Source organism: Homo sapiens, chromosome 1, assembly GCF_000001405.40.
Source record: "Homo sapiens chromosome 1, GRCh38.p14 Primary Assembly".
NCBI lineage: Eukaryota > Metazoa > Chordata > Mammalia > Primates > Hominidae > Homo > Homo sapiens.
The window spans coordinates 209114539-209133551 of NC_000001.11; the positions used below are offsets into that span (position 1 = coordinate 209114539).

The 19013-nt window shown below is 42.3% G+C and overlaps 1 long non-coding RNA gene across 2 annotated transcripts in view; it reads right to left on the bottom strand.

The window, feature by feature from the left end:
• LOC107985255 (uncharacterized) overlaps window positions 1-18710 on the bottom strand; it is a 313794-nt gene extending 295084 nt beyond the window's left edge. For both annotated transcript variants that reach the window (XR_001738442.2, XR_001738441.2), the window contains exon 1: window positions 18216-18710. This is a non-coding gene — a long non-coding RNA (uncharacterized LOC107985255). The remainder of the gene's footprint in view (window positions 1-18215) is intronic.
• Between the last annotated feature and the right edge of the window lie 303 nt (window positions 18711-19013).

The window sequence follows — 19013 nt, forward strand, 5'->3', positions numbered from 1 at the left end:
CTTCACTGCACCCTCCCTGTCCTTAAACACACAGGTAAATGGAGAATTGGTATGCAAGAGCATCTTCTCAAGACTAGCATGAAACACTTCAAATGCATAGGAAAAAGCCATAGAGTGGTACAGTTGGAAAGAATCTTATAAAAGATTCCTGTGAATTTTTTCTCTTTGAGGAAAAAAAAAGACTCACAGAGGACAGATTTCTCCCAAGGTCACACAGTGGTTTACTGGTAGAACGACCACTTCCCAGTCTATCACTCTGCCCTCTAGGCCGAGTGAATGACACCATTATTGTTTTCTATTATAGAGTTCATGAAAGCAACACTGGACTTATATATACATGCATCAGAATAAAGGGATTTTAGGGTTTGAAAAAAGCCTTATAAATCACCAAGCCTGGTCTGCTGGGTGGGTGATCAATTGTCCAGGTTTGCCTGGAACGGAGGGGCTGTTCAACACACGGAACAGGAGAGCCCTGGGCCAACAGATTAGTTGGTCACCAAGCCTACCCCCAAATGACACTTAAATTTATTCTCCAACCTTCAGCATCCTAACATGAATCTCTTTAGCACTAGAGCATTTATGACATTCTCATTTAGTAAATTGCATTGCTGGAACTGTCACCTATAACTATAGGTCTTTATTCTGCCATGTGAGGTCCCACTGAACAATATAGAGGGTGGCTCTGTAGAAAACTGGCCACAGCCATTCCAACATGGGTCCTCTCTGCCGTATTAGAATCTGAAAAGACAATATAATTAAAAGCTACATGGACATGGCAAAACATTCTAAATTTGTTTCTCTCTCTCTTAGCCTTTGTTTGATAAGAGCAACCTCTTCTCTCTTACGGCCTACTTACTGGAAGCATTATTTAGTGACTGTATATATTGTTTTTTACTTATCTGAGATTTCAGTGGCTCATATCCCATTCTGGAACAGTTTTCCTTTTAGGGATTGGCCACAGGATGATCAGATAGCATGGGGGACAGATTTCTGAGGCATTAGAACAAACAAAAGCAGGGTTTTTTTTGGTAAAATCTTTCTGCAACCGAGATAACATTTCCAGCCACATATATCTAATAGGGCAACAACTCCTCCCAGATGAGAATGGCTTTTTTTTAGTACTCTGATTGGATGAGTGACTGCTGCAACCTCGCCATTTATTTCCTGGGAAACTATCTTGACGGGCTATTAGTTCTGTTCAAGGAATTGGTAATTACCTTCATCCCATAGGACAATGGTCATTTGGGTGATTTTTCAGCGGATGAAGACAAAGAGTTGAGTCCACACACACACACACACACAAAATTACACGAAGGAAAAATTTTGGTTGGGCCTTCTCTTCTTCCAATCTTCAGCTTTTCCCTTATCCTTCTCACTTTTTCAGGGAGCAGTGTTTTTCAGCTCCCCTTCAGCTTCCCAAAGCTTCCCCACTTTCTCATTGAATTTTCTCTCCTAAGTGTTACATGGTCCGAGTCACTATTACCACCCAAAAAAATTAATTAAAATGAAAAAAAAAAAATCTGTTCGTGATTCTAAGTATTCAAAAGAAAGCAATTTAATTGTCTGATTAAAGAAATTTATACTAAGGTGAGAATATAAGGTTTAACTTTCATAAGGGATTTTGTCTTAAAAAAGGAGTTAGCTAGAAAGCAAGTCTCTAATTGATGTTACAGATGTATAGGGAGAAGAGGGGTCTTTACTAAAGCTTGCCGATGCTGGCTAACTCTTTTCCCTTTCATCTTGTCCTGTTGAAAGCATCCCATTTATATATTATACTGGAATGGAAGCTGGCAGCTCCTCTGACTGCTTCTATTTTTAAAAAGAAAGAAAAATTATAATCACATACAGCCAGTTGCCTTGTAAAATAGCCCTCAATTTGGATCTGTTTGATATTTTTTCATAATTTTATTCAGCTTATATATTTTTGCATGAATATAACAAAATATATGCTGTATTCATCATGATGAAACATACCAGGAAGCACATAATGTCTATTTGTCCAATTACTGATGATATTAACTTGATTAAAATGGAGTTTACCAGCTAGCTTCACTATACAGTTAATTCATATTTTGTAATTATTGGTTAATAAGTAATTTGTGGAGAAACGCTTTGGCAGTACAAAAATATCTTGCTCTTATTCTAACTTTTACCCACACATTTTAACATCCATTGGTGATTCTTGTCTGAGTCATTTAATATTACGGTGATTGAAAAATGGTGATTTTTCTAATGCCTATATTACTTCAACACTTATCAGTTGGCATTTTACTCCAAGGTAGAACTATCTCTTCTCATCCATCCATTCAATTGTTTATATTAGTATGGGGTTACAGATTTCTTTTTTGCTGAGTAAGTCATAACCCATTATTTATTTTTATGTTCAAATTGTTCCAAATTGGGCCAGTAGATGTTCAAAGGAACAGATTCTTATATCCTTCTGTCATATCCCCATCACTCTGAGCACTTTCTTACTTTCCAACACATGAAAGTGTTGCAGACACATCTTGTACTTTCCATGACTCAGCTCAATCATCATTATTTCCAGGTGGAGGTGAGAGGGTCACTTCAGACCTGGAGTTGGAGACCAGCCTGGGCAACACAGAAAGACCCCATCCCTAAAAAAATAAAAAAATTAGCCAAGCATAGTGGCATGCACCTGTAGTCCCAGCAAGTTGGGAGACTGAAGCAGGAAGGTCACTTGAGCCCAGGAGACATAATCTGATTATGCCACTGCACTCCAGCCTGGGCAATAGAGGGAGACACCAAGTCTAAAAAAAAAAAGAAACAAAAACAAACATACAAACAAAAAACACAATGATTGTCTTTAGGAAGTCCTGGTTTCTTTTAGTGGATAAATGGTATTTAGAAAGCAAGATCTAAGTGTGTTTACTGCTCCTGAGTGTCATTGATTCTAGGTCCAGTCAATGGGCAAACCTCATAAATACTCATACACACACACCTACATCTACATTTATTTCTGTTCATCTCTATTTTGTGTCTATATGTATATTTTTTAGATACATAAGTAGGTAAATAAATAGACAGATAGATGTAAAACCATGAGTTCACACCAATACGTAAATTCCAATCCAACACTTAGAGTTTATTGTGGCCTCCCCTCTTTCCCTGTTTGTTTTCATTTTGAGACAGGGTCTTGTTCTGTTGCCCAGGGTAAAGTGCAGTGGTGTCATCACGGCCCATGCAGCCTTGACCTCCTGGGCTCCAGAAACCCTCCCACCTCAGCTTCCTGACTAGCTCGGACTACAGGCACATGCCACTATGCCCAACTAATTTTTTAATGTTTTTTTAGAGATGGGGTCTCACTATGTGGCCCAAGCTAGTCTAGAACTCTTGGGCTCCAGCAGTCGTCCCACCTCAGCCTTCCAAAGTGCTGGGATTACAGGCATGCACCAACATGCCCAGCCATATTTGTAACTTTGTCCTTTAATAGTAAAAAACTGGATGCCACTGTACTCAAAATATTTACTTATGTGCCCAATCTCTCTTCACTTAACCAGTCTCAGATCCTCTCTTGGCCACAGCCACACTGGTTCTAATCACCCAGATTTGCCTCCTTGGCCCCACCCTACTAGACTCTACTACCCCGGTTGAATACTTGGCCCTAATCCCACAAGACACATCACAGAGCTGGTCAGTTCTTCACACTCACCCTATATTGTTACAAATTTTTGCGTTAATAGTAATTAGTTTTTTACAACAATTTAAAAAGAAAGATCTTTTACATTTACCCATGGTTTTACCCTTTGTAGAGCTCTTCATTCCTTCTTGAAAAACCAGCTTCCATCTGATATCAGATAAATATCCTATGTTATTTTTGTAGTTCAGGTCTGCTGAAGACGAATTATCTCTGCTCTTATCTGACTGAAAATTTTAATAAATATAGAATTCTAGGTTGACAGGCTTTTTTTTTCCTTTCAGCACTTTGAAAATATTATTTAATTGCCTCCTACCTTCATTATTTCTAATAAGTGCACTTGGCATAATCAGCCAACATTCTTAATGTTGTTCCATTCATATTTGGTATTCATCAGTTTGATTATGACATATTTGTATCATTTATTTACACTTTGGAGTTTGCTAAACTTTTAGGATCTATGAGTTGATGTTTTTAATCAATTTTGAAGAATTCTAGACTATTATCTATTTAAATATTTCTTCTGCACTAGTATCTTGTCCTTTTCTCCTTCTGAAATTCTAATTATATGTATTCTTAACCTTTTGATATTGTCTGACAGGTCTCAGACATTCTGTTTGGTTCTGTTTCCGTTATCTTTTCTCTTTGATTTTCACTTTGGACAGTTTTCTATATTTCTATTGATAATGTCTTTTCATGTTTCCAGACTGCTGTTCAGGTCATTGAATGAATTCTTCTGATGTTGTATTTCTTATTTCTAATGTTTCCAGGTGGTTCTTTTTATACTTTTTTTCTGTTGAAATATTTAATGCAGTTATAATGGATTATTTAAAGTCCTTGTCTGCTAATTCCAATATCGGAACCGTTTGTGGGTCTCCAACTGACTGTTTTTTTTATTATGGCTTACATTTTCTACCTTCTATGTTTTATAATTTTTATTGTATATAAGACATCATGTGTAAAAGGACAATAAAGACTGAAATAAATGATATTTCCTCCCAGAAAAAAAAGTATACTTCTTTCCATCCCAGGCTGATAAGAGTTTGAGGGCAAAGTGAATGTAATCTGCACTTGAGCAAGATTTGAGATTTTTAGCAACTGGGTTATATTTAGCTTACTAATGGTTTCAATTATTTTGGGGGACATTAGAAATTTCTAGTTCAATATGTCAACTGCTATTTACATCTTCATTCAAAGTAATAACTCTTGAAAAAAATAAGCCCTTATTCCCCTCGTCATACCCCAAATAGGGCATGATTGAAAGTAGGGATTAGGCCTTTCCTTCCAGCAGTGCTCAGAATTTGTGTACTTGTGATAATCTGTAGATCTCTTTAGGCATTATTTTTCCAAATTATGGGCTGTCTCTCTCCTTCCCAGCCGTGTTGACAACTTTTTCAGTCACCAAAGAATTTTCTTTGCTCTCAAGCTCTAATGTTGGCTCACCGTATCTTAGAAGAACTATCTTCTCTTCTGCAGGCCTGTTCCCAGCCTTCACTGGACCACCATACTGTACTTGGAAAAGGCCCAAAAGGCCCACTGAAATATATATATATATATATATATATATATTTTTTTTTTTTTTGAGACAGAGTCTCACTCTGTCACCCAGGCTGCAGTGCAGTGGCTCGATCTCAGCTCACTGCAAACTCTGCCTTCCAGGTTCAAGCAATTCTCCTACCTCAGCCTCCCAAGTAGCTGGGATTACAGGCGCCCACCATCATGCCTGGCTAATTTTTGTATTTTTAGTAGAGATGGGGTTTCACCATGTTGGCCAGGTTGGTCTTGAATTCCTGACCTCAGGTGATCCTCCCACCTCGGCCTCCCAAAATGCTGGGATTCTAGGCATGAGCCACGATGCCCTGCCTGAAATTTATAGACATTCCTTTCACCTCTTCTGCTCTGTGCCCAGCTGTGCCCTGCTTTGCTCTTAGAAAAGACCCCTTATGCCAAGGGGGAAATCTCTCTCAGTTCTTCTGCCCTGGCCACACCTTTTTAGGACAGTGCCCAGGTACACTCGGTGCAGGTCCATGGGAAGAGTTAGTGGGTGCGTACAGACTCTCCTATGACTAATTAGGGCTTCCAAATTCTGGCCTGTCATGACAGTCCACATGTAGCCTTGAAAAGTTCATTAATAAATAGACTGGCTTCTCATTACCTCTTTCATGGTAGGTTCACTCCTTTTTCCACCATGCCCCTAGCAATCAAAGCAGCTATGAGATTCTTCTCTCTTAGAAAGGGCTCATCTCTTTCCAGATTTACTTAATCTAGAATACACTGATCTCTGATGATGGTTTTTTAAAAAGAATATTATGATTTTACAGTTTATCCAGCTTGTGCTCATTGTCAGGATGAAAACATCTGTCTCCTGTTCTAGTACTATGCTTGATACTTTTCATTTTCTGGGTTTTTACAACTCTAATCTCATTGACTTCTCTGGCTTTTTAGGCTCTCTTTGTCGGAATCCTCTTCATATAAAGGCTTGATACCACACAACTTGTGAGATGCAATTTCTTTTTGGTATTTCATTGTCCATTTATACTTTTTTATTGGGAGATATCCTTTCCGTTTCCTGAATAAAAAGCTGGGCAGTCACCCTGGGGAAATAAATAAAGCTGAAGAATGATTTAAGTCAGGAAGTCTCAGTTTGGACATTAGAAAGTTCTAGTTTAATATATTAATTCGTACTTAAATCTTCATTCAAAGTTATAACTCTTCAAAAGCATAAGCCCTTATTCCCCTCCTTATGCCCCAAATAGGGCATGATTGAAAGCAGATTAACTACCTTCAAGAAAGGAGGTTTGATTCACTTTTGCTCTTTTTCTTACCTCCTCCTAATCGCTGTTTTTAAACTTGCCATGGGAGGAGAGGAAAACAATGCCAAAGTTCTACCCTGACTGGTACTGTCTTAAGGTGGTTCTGTTATCTCAGAGTCTGGCAGAAATTAAAAGGCTGACTCTTCCTCTCATGAGCAAATTAGAAGATTTTTTTTGGAGGCTCTCCTACTGAAGCCTCCAAATAGAACACTGACATAAATTTTCTTGGTCAAGATAATTTTTAAATGACATTGTACTAATATTTTTACCATGAGTTCCACATCCCTTCTCCAGAACCATGCATCTTAAACACACCTTCAGAAGGAAGAATAATCTCCCACTGTCCTGCTACCAGAGGCTAGACCAGGTGGCCTCTCTCTCACTGTATGATTCCCTAGGCATAGATTAGATATCAATCAATAGTTCTCCCACTCTTAATACAAGGTTTACATATCAAGCTCTCCAAGTGATCTCCTTTGAAGTCCCTTCCCAAGACTTGATGAAAAATACTGGGAATCACAGAACCAATTTTTCTCAAAGAAATCCTCATTAGAAATTCTATCAATCTCTTTAGATCTTTTATATTTTCCTTGTTGGTGAGAGAACTAGCAAAACATCCTCAAACACCTAGTTTACTTTTCTGCCTGGTGATCTGATATCTCATTTGTAATTTTCTTTATACCTGTTGTATTTTAATGTCTCAGTCAAAACACCTAATTTGACAACCTATTTCATCTTCCTTTCCCTATCTGCTAAGTATTCGAATTTCTTGAGCCGATCATTGCTGCACTCAACACACTCAGTTTCTCTGAGCAGTTCTTATGTCCAGCTTCATCCCTTCACTTGAGTCTCTGACTTTAGATTCCAACTACTCACTGAACAATTACACTCTGGGGGCACTATGGAAACTTTGAATTTAGCAAGTTCCAAACAAGCTTACTAACTTCTTCATTCTCTATTTCTAACTTGCACATCATATGCCTTTAGTTCTGCTCTTCTATCTTCTTGGAATGCCCTTGCCATTTCCCTCCTATTTCACTTCTTGCTATGCCTAAAGAAACCTACCAATTTCTAGCTTAGATGTCAACTGCTAATTTTCTACACCCAGAAAGATTGATTGGTTCTCTTCTAGATTTCTCAGATTTTTCTTTCCTCCATTAATAGCATTGCCTTCTATTTAGTCATACCTGCACCTGTCTCTGTCTTCTTCATAACTTGGCAGGTCCTCAAAGGGAATGTCACACTCATCTCTTTATTCCCTTGTGCCCAGGGAAGTCCTGATATATAGTAGGTTCTCACTAAATGTATGCTTATTTTAATTTTTGTATATATATATATATAAAATTTGATTCTTACAACATATCTATCAGGACAAAATTATTACTATCTATCCCCAAATTCCAGACAAGAAAATTGCAGTTCAGTTATGTTAAGCTACTAGAAACAAGGTCTCACAGGTGGAAAAGAAGCAGAGCCAGTACTTTAAAATTATATATTTCACTCATGGCCTAGTCCTCCTCCTAGTATTCCTCTTTTCTACTGTGTTTGTTTTCATTCTAGCCTTATGCTGCCTGGCATTTTAAGCATCCCTAAAGATTTTTCATTCCCAAGCTCCTATTGCACATTTTTAAAGACAAAAGATGTATGAAGATTCTGCCGCTATTCTGCCTCCTCCCAATTTCTTCCAAATAGCGTGCTTAAAATACAACAATCAATTCATTTTACTAATTGATATATCATAGGCTCTCTACATTGTTTCCTCAAGATATCCATATAAGCTGTTGACAACACTAGTACTATGCCGCCTCTATGCTTCTCTGCCTCTTTTATTTACACAAGCAAGTCATCTACAACTTGGCCTGCTGTTTAAAAGGCATTACAGAGCTATGGATCTCCCCAAAAGCCAGGTGTTGTGGTAAGAGATGCCTCCGGCTATTTTTTCCCAGGCCTGGCTTCCAACTCATAGGTGAGTATTGTAAAGAAAGACTGAGCTTTGTCTTATTAAAATATTTTTATCCTGACTTGGGTTTTCCTCTGCTTCACCAACTAATACAGTTGGCACATGCCTTAGCAGAAGCTGAGATAGGGCTTGCATGCAGGTAATTTATTTTGGGAAGTGATTCCAGAAAACAGAAGTCAGGTAGCAGAATAAAATTGGGACAGGTAAAAAGCCAGTACAAAGGTAAAAAGCCAGTACAAAGAGCTGGTCACTTCTATGGAAAATTGGGCATTAGTTTCATCAGGACCCTCTAAGGAATTAATATAGAATGCACTTCAGAAACATCCCCCTCAGGGAAGAGAAACATCCCCTCAGGGGAGCATTATCTCAAGTTCCCATTTCTCATTTGCCCAAGATTATTCCATGGGTTATAACTCCCTTTCACTTCTAAATTGTACATGTAGATTCCAGTTAATTTCTGAGTATCTCCACCATGGTGTTGGATGATCCTGAGGCAGAAAGCAAGTAAAGAGATGTCAGCTTGCACCTGCGTGAAGCTGGCTGCCCTAGTAGTGACTGGGCTAAAAAGTGGGGTGAGCAAATGGGAGACAATGTAATGAAGAGTCCAGTGTACCACATGTGGCTAAGCCCAGTGTCCTAGCCTCCAATGACAGGACCACACCAGAGCTCCCTTAGGAGAAAGTAGAATGCAGGGAGGGAAGTCAGCATGGACATGGGGTACGCAAGAGCTTCTTAAAAACCAGCACCAACAAAACCAGTGCTGTGGAGAGGCAGAGCCAGTGCTGTGGAGAGGTAGAGCCAGACGACTAGGACTGCCAGCAAAGCAAACAGATGGCCAGAAACCTGTGCCTTAGAACCAGCAGGTCATTCACTCCAGTATCCCCCAAATCCTGCTTTGTCTTCTACAGTTGGCCTATCTGAGGCTGGATAGAGATTTACACAATCTTCAGGCAAGTTGATTGCTCCAGAGATCAACCCCACTCCATACCCCATTGACTTCCTCAGCAACAGCAGCTTAGGCACATTGAAGAAGGCAATATTATCCTCCACCACCTCTGCCTCCAGTTGGAACTCTCTAGTTTTAAAGCCTCATCTCTCAACCCCTCAGAAGACCAACACCTTCTTGCTCCTCTCAGTTGCCGATACCCACCACTGTCCTCCCAGGATGTGGCCTGCCCCCATATCTCTTCCCAATGATATCTATGCCTTAAATACTGGAACCTGTGAATATGTTACATTACACGGAAAGAGTGACCTCAAGGCAGAGAAATGACCCTGGATTATCCAGGCAGGCCCAGTGCAATCACATGAGCCCTTAAAAGCTCGGAAACTTCTTCCTCTGAAATCAATGAGATAGAGGTGACAAAGGGAATCAGGAAGAATGAGGCAGAAGTAAAGGACAGACAGATATGAACGGTGAGAAGGACTTGACCCACCATTGCTGGTTTTGATGAATGTGGCTGGACTCTAAGAGCTGAGAATGACCCCCAGCCAACAACCAACAAGAAACAGGGACTTCAGTCTCACAACCACAGGAAGCTGCCAACAACCTGAATGAGCCTGGAAGCAGATCCTTTCCCACAGTCTCCAGTGAAGAACACAGGCATCCTGATTTTAGCCCTGTGAGAACCATTTCAGATATCTGAGCTAAAGAAACTATAAGATAATACATTTGTGAGTGTGGGGAAAGTGGCTCATGCTTGTAATCCCAGCACTTTGGGAGGCTGAGGTAGGAGGATTGTTTGAGGCCAGGAATTCAAAACCAGCCTGGGCAATACAGCAAGACCCCATCCAAAAAAAAAAAAAAAAAAGGCCAGATGTAGTGGTGTGTACCTATAGTCCTAGTTACTCAGGAGACTGAAATAGAGAGGATCACTGGGGCTGAGGAGTTCAAGGCTGTAGTGAGCCATGATCATACCACAGCATTCAAGCCTGGGCAACAAAGTGAGACTCTGTCTCCAAAAAATAAACAAATAAATAAGTACATTTGTGTACATTTGTGTTACTTGAAGTAACTAAGTTTGTGGCAATTTGTTAAAGTATTAATAGAAAACTAATACAGAGTCCTAAGTGATTGGTTCAAAAACAACTCTTTGATAAGCTGGTAGATTTTAAGGTGCTTTAGACTGGCTATATTATCCATCTCAGGAGAAGTTAATTTTTCAAACTTAGGAGCAGTATGGAAAAAATGAAAGATTCTGAGAAGTGGGTACTCCTCCTAAAGAAGGTCTGCTTTCCACTGTCAAACTTAAAGCAATGGGATTGGCATTATCAACAGAAATGTAAAGAGCAGAGATCATTGAGGAATTCCCAGTCCATAGGGTGTTAACTTCACCTTGACTGGACATTTACCCCCTCCTCCATTGCTTGGAATCCTGAAAAATATTCCATAGGGAAACTGCAGCCAAATACATACCCTTCTTCCTAGGCTCCCCCACCATTCTTTTTTCCAAAAGTTCTGGACTGAGCAGATTTATATTCCTCCTTTCCCTATCTCCTTATTTTGTCTTGCTCCACTTCCTTTCTTCTGGTCCCTCTATCACTCTTAAACCTGACAGGGAACTTCCTCAGTTAACAGAGTCTGCCCCAACTTCTATTCTAACAGAGGAGAGGAAAAAAGAACACAGAGAAACACCACAACAATCTCTGTACTTTTCCCATCAAAGCATTCCCTATCCAGTGAAAGAGGTGAAGGGAAGAGTTGGTCTGTGTTGTCTCCTTTGGGTCATTTTGTTCATGACCCTTAACAAAGTCCTTCTCTGAGATTAGAGAGAAACAAAAAGAGAAGGAAAAAATGGATGTGCTCAACACAAAGCAAGAACAATGACTATTAAGCACATTCATCTCTTAATGGATACACCATCCTCCATAAATAATTGGAGTATCTCAAAGTATCTCCCACCAAATATGTATTAATTAAAAAAGGAAAATAGCACCTTTACCATGGAGAAACCTGAAAGATACCACCTTATCCAAGTGATAAATGTCAACCTCACCAGCTGTAGAACATATCAGCATCAAGCATTCCCCAATATGATTTTCTAAAAGGGCATATCATATCTGTGGTATTTTTCCCTAATAATGAATCATCTCTATCTAATCATGAAAAAATATCAGAGAAACAAAAAGTAAGGACATACTATAAAAAATAGCTTAACCAGAGTTTTCCAAAAGTAGCATGTGCATGAAAGACAAAAGAAAACTAAGGAATTAGCAGAAATTGGAGGAGACTAAGGACATATAACAACTAAATGCAATGTGGAATACCAGATTGAATTCTGAAATAGTAAAAGGAAATCCATGGAAAAACTGGTAAAATCTGAAGAAAATCTATAGCTTAATTAACAGGGTTAATACCTTATTTTTGATCATATACCACTGCTACATGAAATGTTAACATTAGGGGAATCTGAGTTACAAGAACTCTGCACTATTTTTGTGACTCCCCGTAAGTCTAAATTAACTCTTCCACAAGTTACCTATATGATTTTTAAAATTTTAATTAACCTTTTTGAGTCTCAGTTTCTTCATCTGTGAAAAGAATATTTTTGGATTAAATGACTTCCCAAGATTCAAACTGGTTTAAAGAGAGAAAGTACATTTGAAAGGAGAGAGAGAAAAAAAAGACAATAAAATGATAATATTAAAATGTGCAAAATCTGTTAGATTGTTTGCAGTGGACTAAACTGTGTCTTTCCCTCCTGTTTCCCATATAAATTCATACATTGAAACCCTAACTTTCAGTGTGATGGTATCTGGAGATGGGGCCTTTGGGAGATAATTAGGTTTAGGTGAGGTCATCAGGGTGGGCACTCATGATGAAATTAGTACCCTTACAAGAAGAAACACTAGATAATTCGCTCGCGCTCTCTCTCTCTCTCTCTCTCTCTCTCTCTCTCTCTCTCTCTCTCTGTCTGTCTCTGAACACACAGGCACCAAGGAAAGGCTCTGTAAACACATATGACCACTAGAAGGTGGCCATTTGCAAGCCAGGAAGAGAGCCCTCACCAGAAATCAACCATGCTGGCACCTTGAGTTTGGACTCCCAGCCTAGAGAACTGTGAGGAAATAAATTTCTGCTGTTTAAACCATCAGTCTATCATATTTTATTATGGCAGCCCGAGCTGACTAAGACACAGTTTTTTTCCATACATAATACTAATGTTAAAAATAACCAAAATAATTATACATAAGAGAAAAATAAAGGTTCAGCAAGATAATGAGTAAAACACTTAGCACACACAATAAGTACTCAATAAATGTCATTGTTTATGGCTTGACAAGGGGATTTGGCTTAGGAAGTGGAACAGATATGTTTTGGATCTAGGCACTCTAGATTCCTAATGTCATGCAGAGAGATAAAATAGTAAATAAGTAAATAGTCTGAAAACTATAAAGAATTAGCACACAAGAGATAATGTCAATGTGAGGGAGAGGAAGAAAACTAGAAGGTCAATGATGACTACCAAATTAAAAAATCCCCAGTGGAGTAAAACCTGAGGGAAGAGAGGATGAAATATGTGTATAAATGAACAGTTTGAAATCCCATGCCTACATGACCATGCACCTAAGCAGGACTAGCCACCCCTCCCCTATTTTCTACCCAGGACCAGAACCAGTCCAATGGATAAGAATAAATATCAGTAACGAAAAAACTGGCTTAGACTCTGCTCTAAAGAATTCCAAGTTCAAGTGATTTTGAAAATGGATGTTTAGGATTGGTATAAAAACTGTGCTGACAGACCTTTGAACAAAAGTCCAAAAGAGTCATCAAGTCACAATTTGAAAACATATAGAAGATCAGAGATGTCTGGTTCTGACTAGTCATTTGAACTAATTTTTTGGCAGAAAAAAATAAAATTCTAGGCTGGGCACGGTCGCTTACATCTGTAATTCCAGCATTTTGAGAAGATGAAGCGGGCGGATCACTTGAGGTCAAGAGTTCAAGACCAGCCTGGCCAAAACGGTAAAACGCCGAATGGTAAAACACCATCTCTATCGAAAGTATAATAATTAGCCAGGTGTGGTCATGGGCGACTGTAGTCTCAGCTACTTGGGAGGCTGAGGTGGAAGAATCACACAAGCCCAGGAGGTAAGGGTTGCAGTGAGCCGAGATCGCGCCACCACACTCTAGCCTGGGTGACAGAGCAAGACTCTGTCTCAAAAAGAAAGAAAGAAAGAAAATTCTAGGTAAAATATTTGTTAAATACTAAATAGCAAAGGCACCAAAGGATACAAAGTGACTACTAGGTTTAAAATAGAAGAAGAGTTGAGAACTTGAGGATTAAGCTGACACTCCACACTACTGTTACTCTAAGTGCATTTGACAATCAGGAAGAAATGGCTGGCTGAGTGCAGTGGCTCACACCTGTAATCCCAACACTTTGGGAGGCCGACGGCAGATCGCTTGAGGTCAGGAGTCTCCATTTTAGGTGAAACCCCATCTCCATTAAAAATACAAAAATTAGCTCTCCCTCTCCCTCTCCCTCTCCCTCACGGTCTCCCTCTCCCCACGGTCTCCCTCTCCCTCTCTTTCCATGGTCTCCCTCTGATGCCCAGCCGAAGCTGGACTGTACTGCTGCCATCTCGGCTCACTGCAACCTCCCTGCCTGATTCTCCTGCCTCAGCCTGCGGAGTGCCTGCAATTGCAGGCGCGCGCCGCCACGCCTGACTGGTTTTCGTATTTTTTTGGTGGAGACGGGGTTTCGCTGTGTTGGCCGGGCTGGTCTCCAGCTCCTAACAGCGAGTGATCCGCCAGCCTCGGCCTCCGGAGGTGCCGGGATTGCAGACGGTGTCTGGTTCACTCAGTGCTCAATGGTGCCCAGGCTGGAGTGCAGTGGCGTGATCTCGGCTCACTACAACCTCCACCTCCCAGCCGCCTGCCTTGGCCTCCCAAAGTGCCCAGAGTGCAGCCTCTGCCCGGCCGCCACCCCGTCTAGGAAGTGAGGAGCGTCTCTGCCTGGCCGCCCATCGTCTGGGATGTGAGTAGCCCCTCTGCCTGGCTGCCCAGTCTGGAAAGTGAGGAGCGTCTCTGCCCGGCCGCCATCCCATCTAGGAAGTGAGGAGCGTCTCTGCCCGGCCGCCCATCGTCTGAGATGTGGGGAGCGCCTTTGCCCCGCCGCCCCGTCTGGGATGTGAGGAGCGCCTCTGCCCGGCCGCGACCCCATCTGGGAGGTGAGGAGCGTCTCTGCCCAGCCGCCCCATCTGAGAAGGGAGGAGACCCTCCGCCCGGCAGCCGCCCCGTCTGAGAAGTGAGGAGCCCCTCCGCCTGGCAGCCACCCCGTCTGGGAAGTGAGGAGCCTCTCCGCCCGGCAGCCGACCCGTCCGGGAGGGAGGTGGGGGGTCAGCCCCCACCAGGCCAGCCGCCCCGTCCGGGAGGGAGGTGGGGGGGTCAGCCCCCCGCCCGGCCAGCCGCCCCGTCCGGGAGGGAGGTGGGGGAGTCAGCCCTCCGCCCGGCCAGCTGCCTCTTCCGGGAGGTGAGGGGCGCCTCTGCCCGGCCGCCCCTACTGGAAAGTGAGGAGCCCCTCTGCCCGGCCAGCTGCCCCGTCCGGGAGGGAGGTGGGGGGTCAGCCCCCCCGCCCGGCCAGTCGCCCCGTCCGGGAGGGAGGTGGGGGGGTCAGCCCCCCGCCCGGTCAGCCGCCTCGTCCGGGAGGTGAGGGGCGCCTCTGCCCGGCCGCCCCTACTGGGAAGTGAGGAGCCCCTCTGCCCAGCCACCACCCCGTCTGGGAGGTGTGCCCAACAGCTCATTGAGAACGGGCCATGATGACCAATGGTGGTTTTGTGGAATAGAAAGCGGGGAAAGGTGGGGAAAAGATTGAGAAATCGGATGGTTGCCGTGTCTGTGTGGAAAGAAGTAGACATGGGAGACTTTTCATTTTGTTCTGTACTAAGAAAAATTCTTCTGCCTTGGGATCCTGTTGATCTGTGACCTTACCCCGCAACCCTGTGCTCTCTGAAACATGTGCTGTGCCCACTCAGGGTTAAATGGATTAAGGGCAGTGCAAGATGTGTTTGTTAAACAGATGCTTGAAGGCAGCATGCTAGTTAAGAGTCATCACCACTCCCTAATCTCAAGTACCCAGGGACACAAACACTGCGGAAGGCCTCAGGGTCCTCTGCCTAGGAAAACCAGAGACCTTTGTTCACTTGTTTATCTGCTGACCTTCCCTCCACTATTGTCCTATGACCCTGCCAAATCCCCCTCTGTGAGAAACACCCAAGAATGATCAATAAAAAAAAAAAATTAAAAAAAAAAATAAAATAAATAAAATAAAATAAAATAAATACAAAAAATACAAAAATTAGCTGTGCATGGTAGTGAGTGCCTGTAATCCCATCTACTCGGGAGGCTGAGGCAGGAGAATCACTTAAACCCGGGACGCAGAGGTTGCAGTGAGCCAAGATCATGCCACTGCGCTCCAGCTTGGGTGACAGAGTGATACTCCACCTCAAAAAAAAACAAAAAAAGAAGAAGAAATGGCTGCAAAACTGATCTAAAGTGTTGGTGGATTCTCTACATAAAAAAAAATAGTTCAAATGATTCTCTACGTAGGAGGTATCTTTATCCCACTGCAAACCAGGAACTGAAGTCCTAACCAAGGTAGAGAGTCATATAGAACAACCCCCTTTTCCTTTCATACACACACACACACACACACACACACGCTAAGTCAGGATGTCAAAGAATTATCCCCACTCAGGGCACTCAGGATAGTGACTCCTTAGAAATAAATCTCCCACATCCTGATGGGAAAAATGGGAGAGAGGATAGAATGGTGATGAGAGAGAGATAAAGAAATCAAAAGATAAAGACAAATGGAAGAGAGGATAGAATGGTGGTGAGGGAGACAGAAAAAGTAGCTATAAAACAAGTTCTGATAGTCCAGTGGAAATTCCTCAAATTTGCATAATTGGGGTGGTCCAAAAATGTCAAGTCTGATTGTACTCTCTGCAGGTACCTGAAAAAGTAAACTCAAGTCAACTCTGGAGGGAGGTATCTTTATCCTAATGTGAACCAAAAATAAAATCCTAAGCCCTGCACCAACTGAATGGACATCTCCTCTAAGCCAATGGGATTCCCAAGGAAACCTGGAAAACTAGTTAACTAGTTCACACTATGCCGACGGGGGTCGGGGCGGGGGCAGCGGTGGTGGCGGGCGGGGGGGGGGGGATCTGACATGCCTCATTATACTCTCCTTCCTTTGGAATTCAGGAACAACTGAGCAGCATTAACATTAAAACAGAGATCTTAAGACTGACAAAACAGACTCTTTGTAGCAATAAGATACCAAATTCAGACCTGACTATGGTATAGCATCACATGACTGATAGCAGGCCCTGAAAGAAATCATTTTACCCTAAAATATATTTGTGATATTTTGAAATGGCCCTGCCAGGCTATCTCTTATGGGGGAAATTTACATTTTGTAGATCTTTTCCCGATCCTGAAGAGATTAGCTGAGAGTCTGGTACCTTTTTAAGATCAGTATAGGAAACATTTGCCATCTATCGCCTCTAAGAGCAGCCACCTATGAGACTTCATCTACATAATAAAAACCTTAGTCTCCGCAATCCCTTATCTTAACCCAGACACTCCTTTTTATTGACTCCAGGCCTTTAGATAATAACTTAATTATTTCAACCAATTGTGAATCAGAAAATTTTTGAACCCACCTATGACCTAGAATCACCACTTCAAGCGTCCCACCCTCCCAGACCAAACCAATGTATACCTCACATGTATTGATTGATGTCTTATGTCTCCCTTAAACGTATAAAACCAAGCTGCAACCCATCCACCTTGGGTACATGTTCTCAGGACCTCTTAAAACTATGCCTTGCACCTTGATCACTCATGATTCGCTCATAATAAACCTCTTTACAAATTTTACAGAGTTTGCCTCTTTTTTGTTGACATAGGCCTTTGAGAATATACACAAATAATTTTTAAGGGCCATGGGGGGCACAGAAAGATTTTTGATTACATAAAGAAACAAGTTACCAAAAATAAGAACTAAGGCCAGACATGGTAGCTAACATTTATAATTCCAGCACTTTGGGAGGCCGAGATGGGATGATTGTTTGAGCCCAGGAGCTCAAGACCAGCCTGGGCAACATAGTGAGACCTCATCTCTACAAAAAAAAAATTTTAATTAGTTGAGCGTAGTGGTGTATGCCTGTAGTCCCAGCTACTTGGGACTAGCTGGGAGCATCACTTGAGCCTGGGAGGCAGAGGTTGCAGTGAGCCATGTCATACCACTGCATTCCAGCCTGATGACAGAGCAAGACCCTGTCTCAAAAAAATAAATAAATAAAAGAAATGAGAACCAATAGAAATGATGAGATGGGAGCGTTCCCTTGACCTTGACCCCCTTTGTGGGCAAGAACTGAAATGGCTCATTTCACTCAGCCTGCCACTGGCCCCTTCTTGAGAGAGGGAGCGTGCAAGTAAGGGAGGAGACCACCCCTCATATTGTGTTATGCCCAATTTCTGCCTCCAAAGAAAGAAGAAGTAACAACTAAAAGGCAGAAATGAAATCCACAGGCAGACAGCCTGGCGCAGCCCTGGGCCTGGTTAAAGATCGACCCCTGACCTAACCCGTTATGTTATCTATAGATTCCACACATTGTATGGAAAAGCATTGTGAAAATCCCTGTCCTGTTCTGTTTTGTTCTGATTACCGGTGCATGCAGCCCCCAGTCACGTATCCACTGCTTGCTCAATGATCACGACCCTCTATCCCCTTGGAGTTGTGAGCCCTTAAAAGGGACAGGGATTGCTCACCTGGGGAGCTCAGTTGTTGGAGACGTGAGTCTTGCTGAACCTTCCAGCCGAATAAAACCCTTCCTTCTTTAACTCGGTGTCTGAGGGGTTTTGTCTGCGGCTTGTCCTGCTACACAAGCAAGCGAGTGCGGGAACTGGAGTGAGTGAATACTGGAACCGGGGGTCACTTCTCTCTGGTGAGAACAGGCTCTGTGTGGGCCCCGCAGCAGCCTCCGAGCCCCTGCCCTCTCGGCACCTGAGTTCTCGTCCAGCATCTGGGAAGAATGAGGTCCCATGAATGGGTTGAAGGGTAGTGTGTGTGGAGGATTTTATTGGGTAATAAAAGCAGTTTTCAGTGGGATGGAGAATTGGAAAAGGGATGGTGCAGGAAGAAGGTGATCTTTCCCTGAAGCTGCACCATCTGAAGTTAGCCGTGTCTATCTGTGGTCTCGGACACTCAGTTGCTGCTTCTCTGTTTGCTGCTCAACCACTTGTATCCCAGCCGCTCAGCCGCTTGTGTTACTCTGCCAGCTGAAGTCTTTTTATGGGCATAGGATAGGGGCGGGGCAGGCCAAAAAGGCAACATTTGGGCAGAAAAATGGGGTCAGCTGTTTTCACTTAAGACTGCGGTTCCAGGCTTAAGGGTGGGGTTTAGCCAGGGGCCCAGGTGTTCTGTATCAATAACAAGGAACAGAAACTAGAAACTGATCCCCAAAGACTTCAGATGCAGAAGCAATTGGAAATTAAAACTTAAAGCTACTTACTATTTGAAGGAAATAAAATATCTGCTTTTAAAAATGACAGCATTTGAGGAAAATG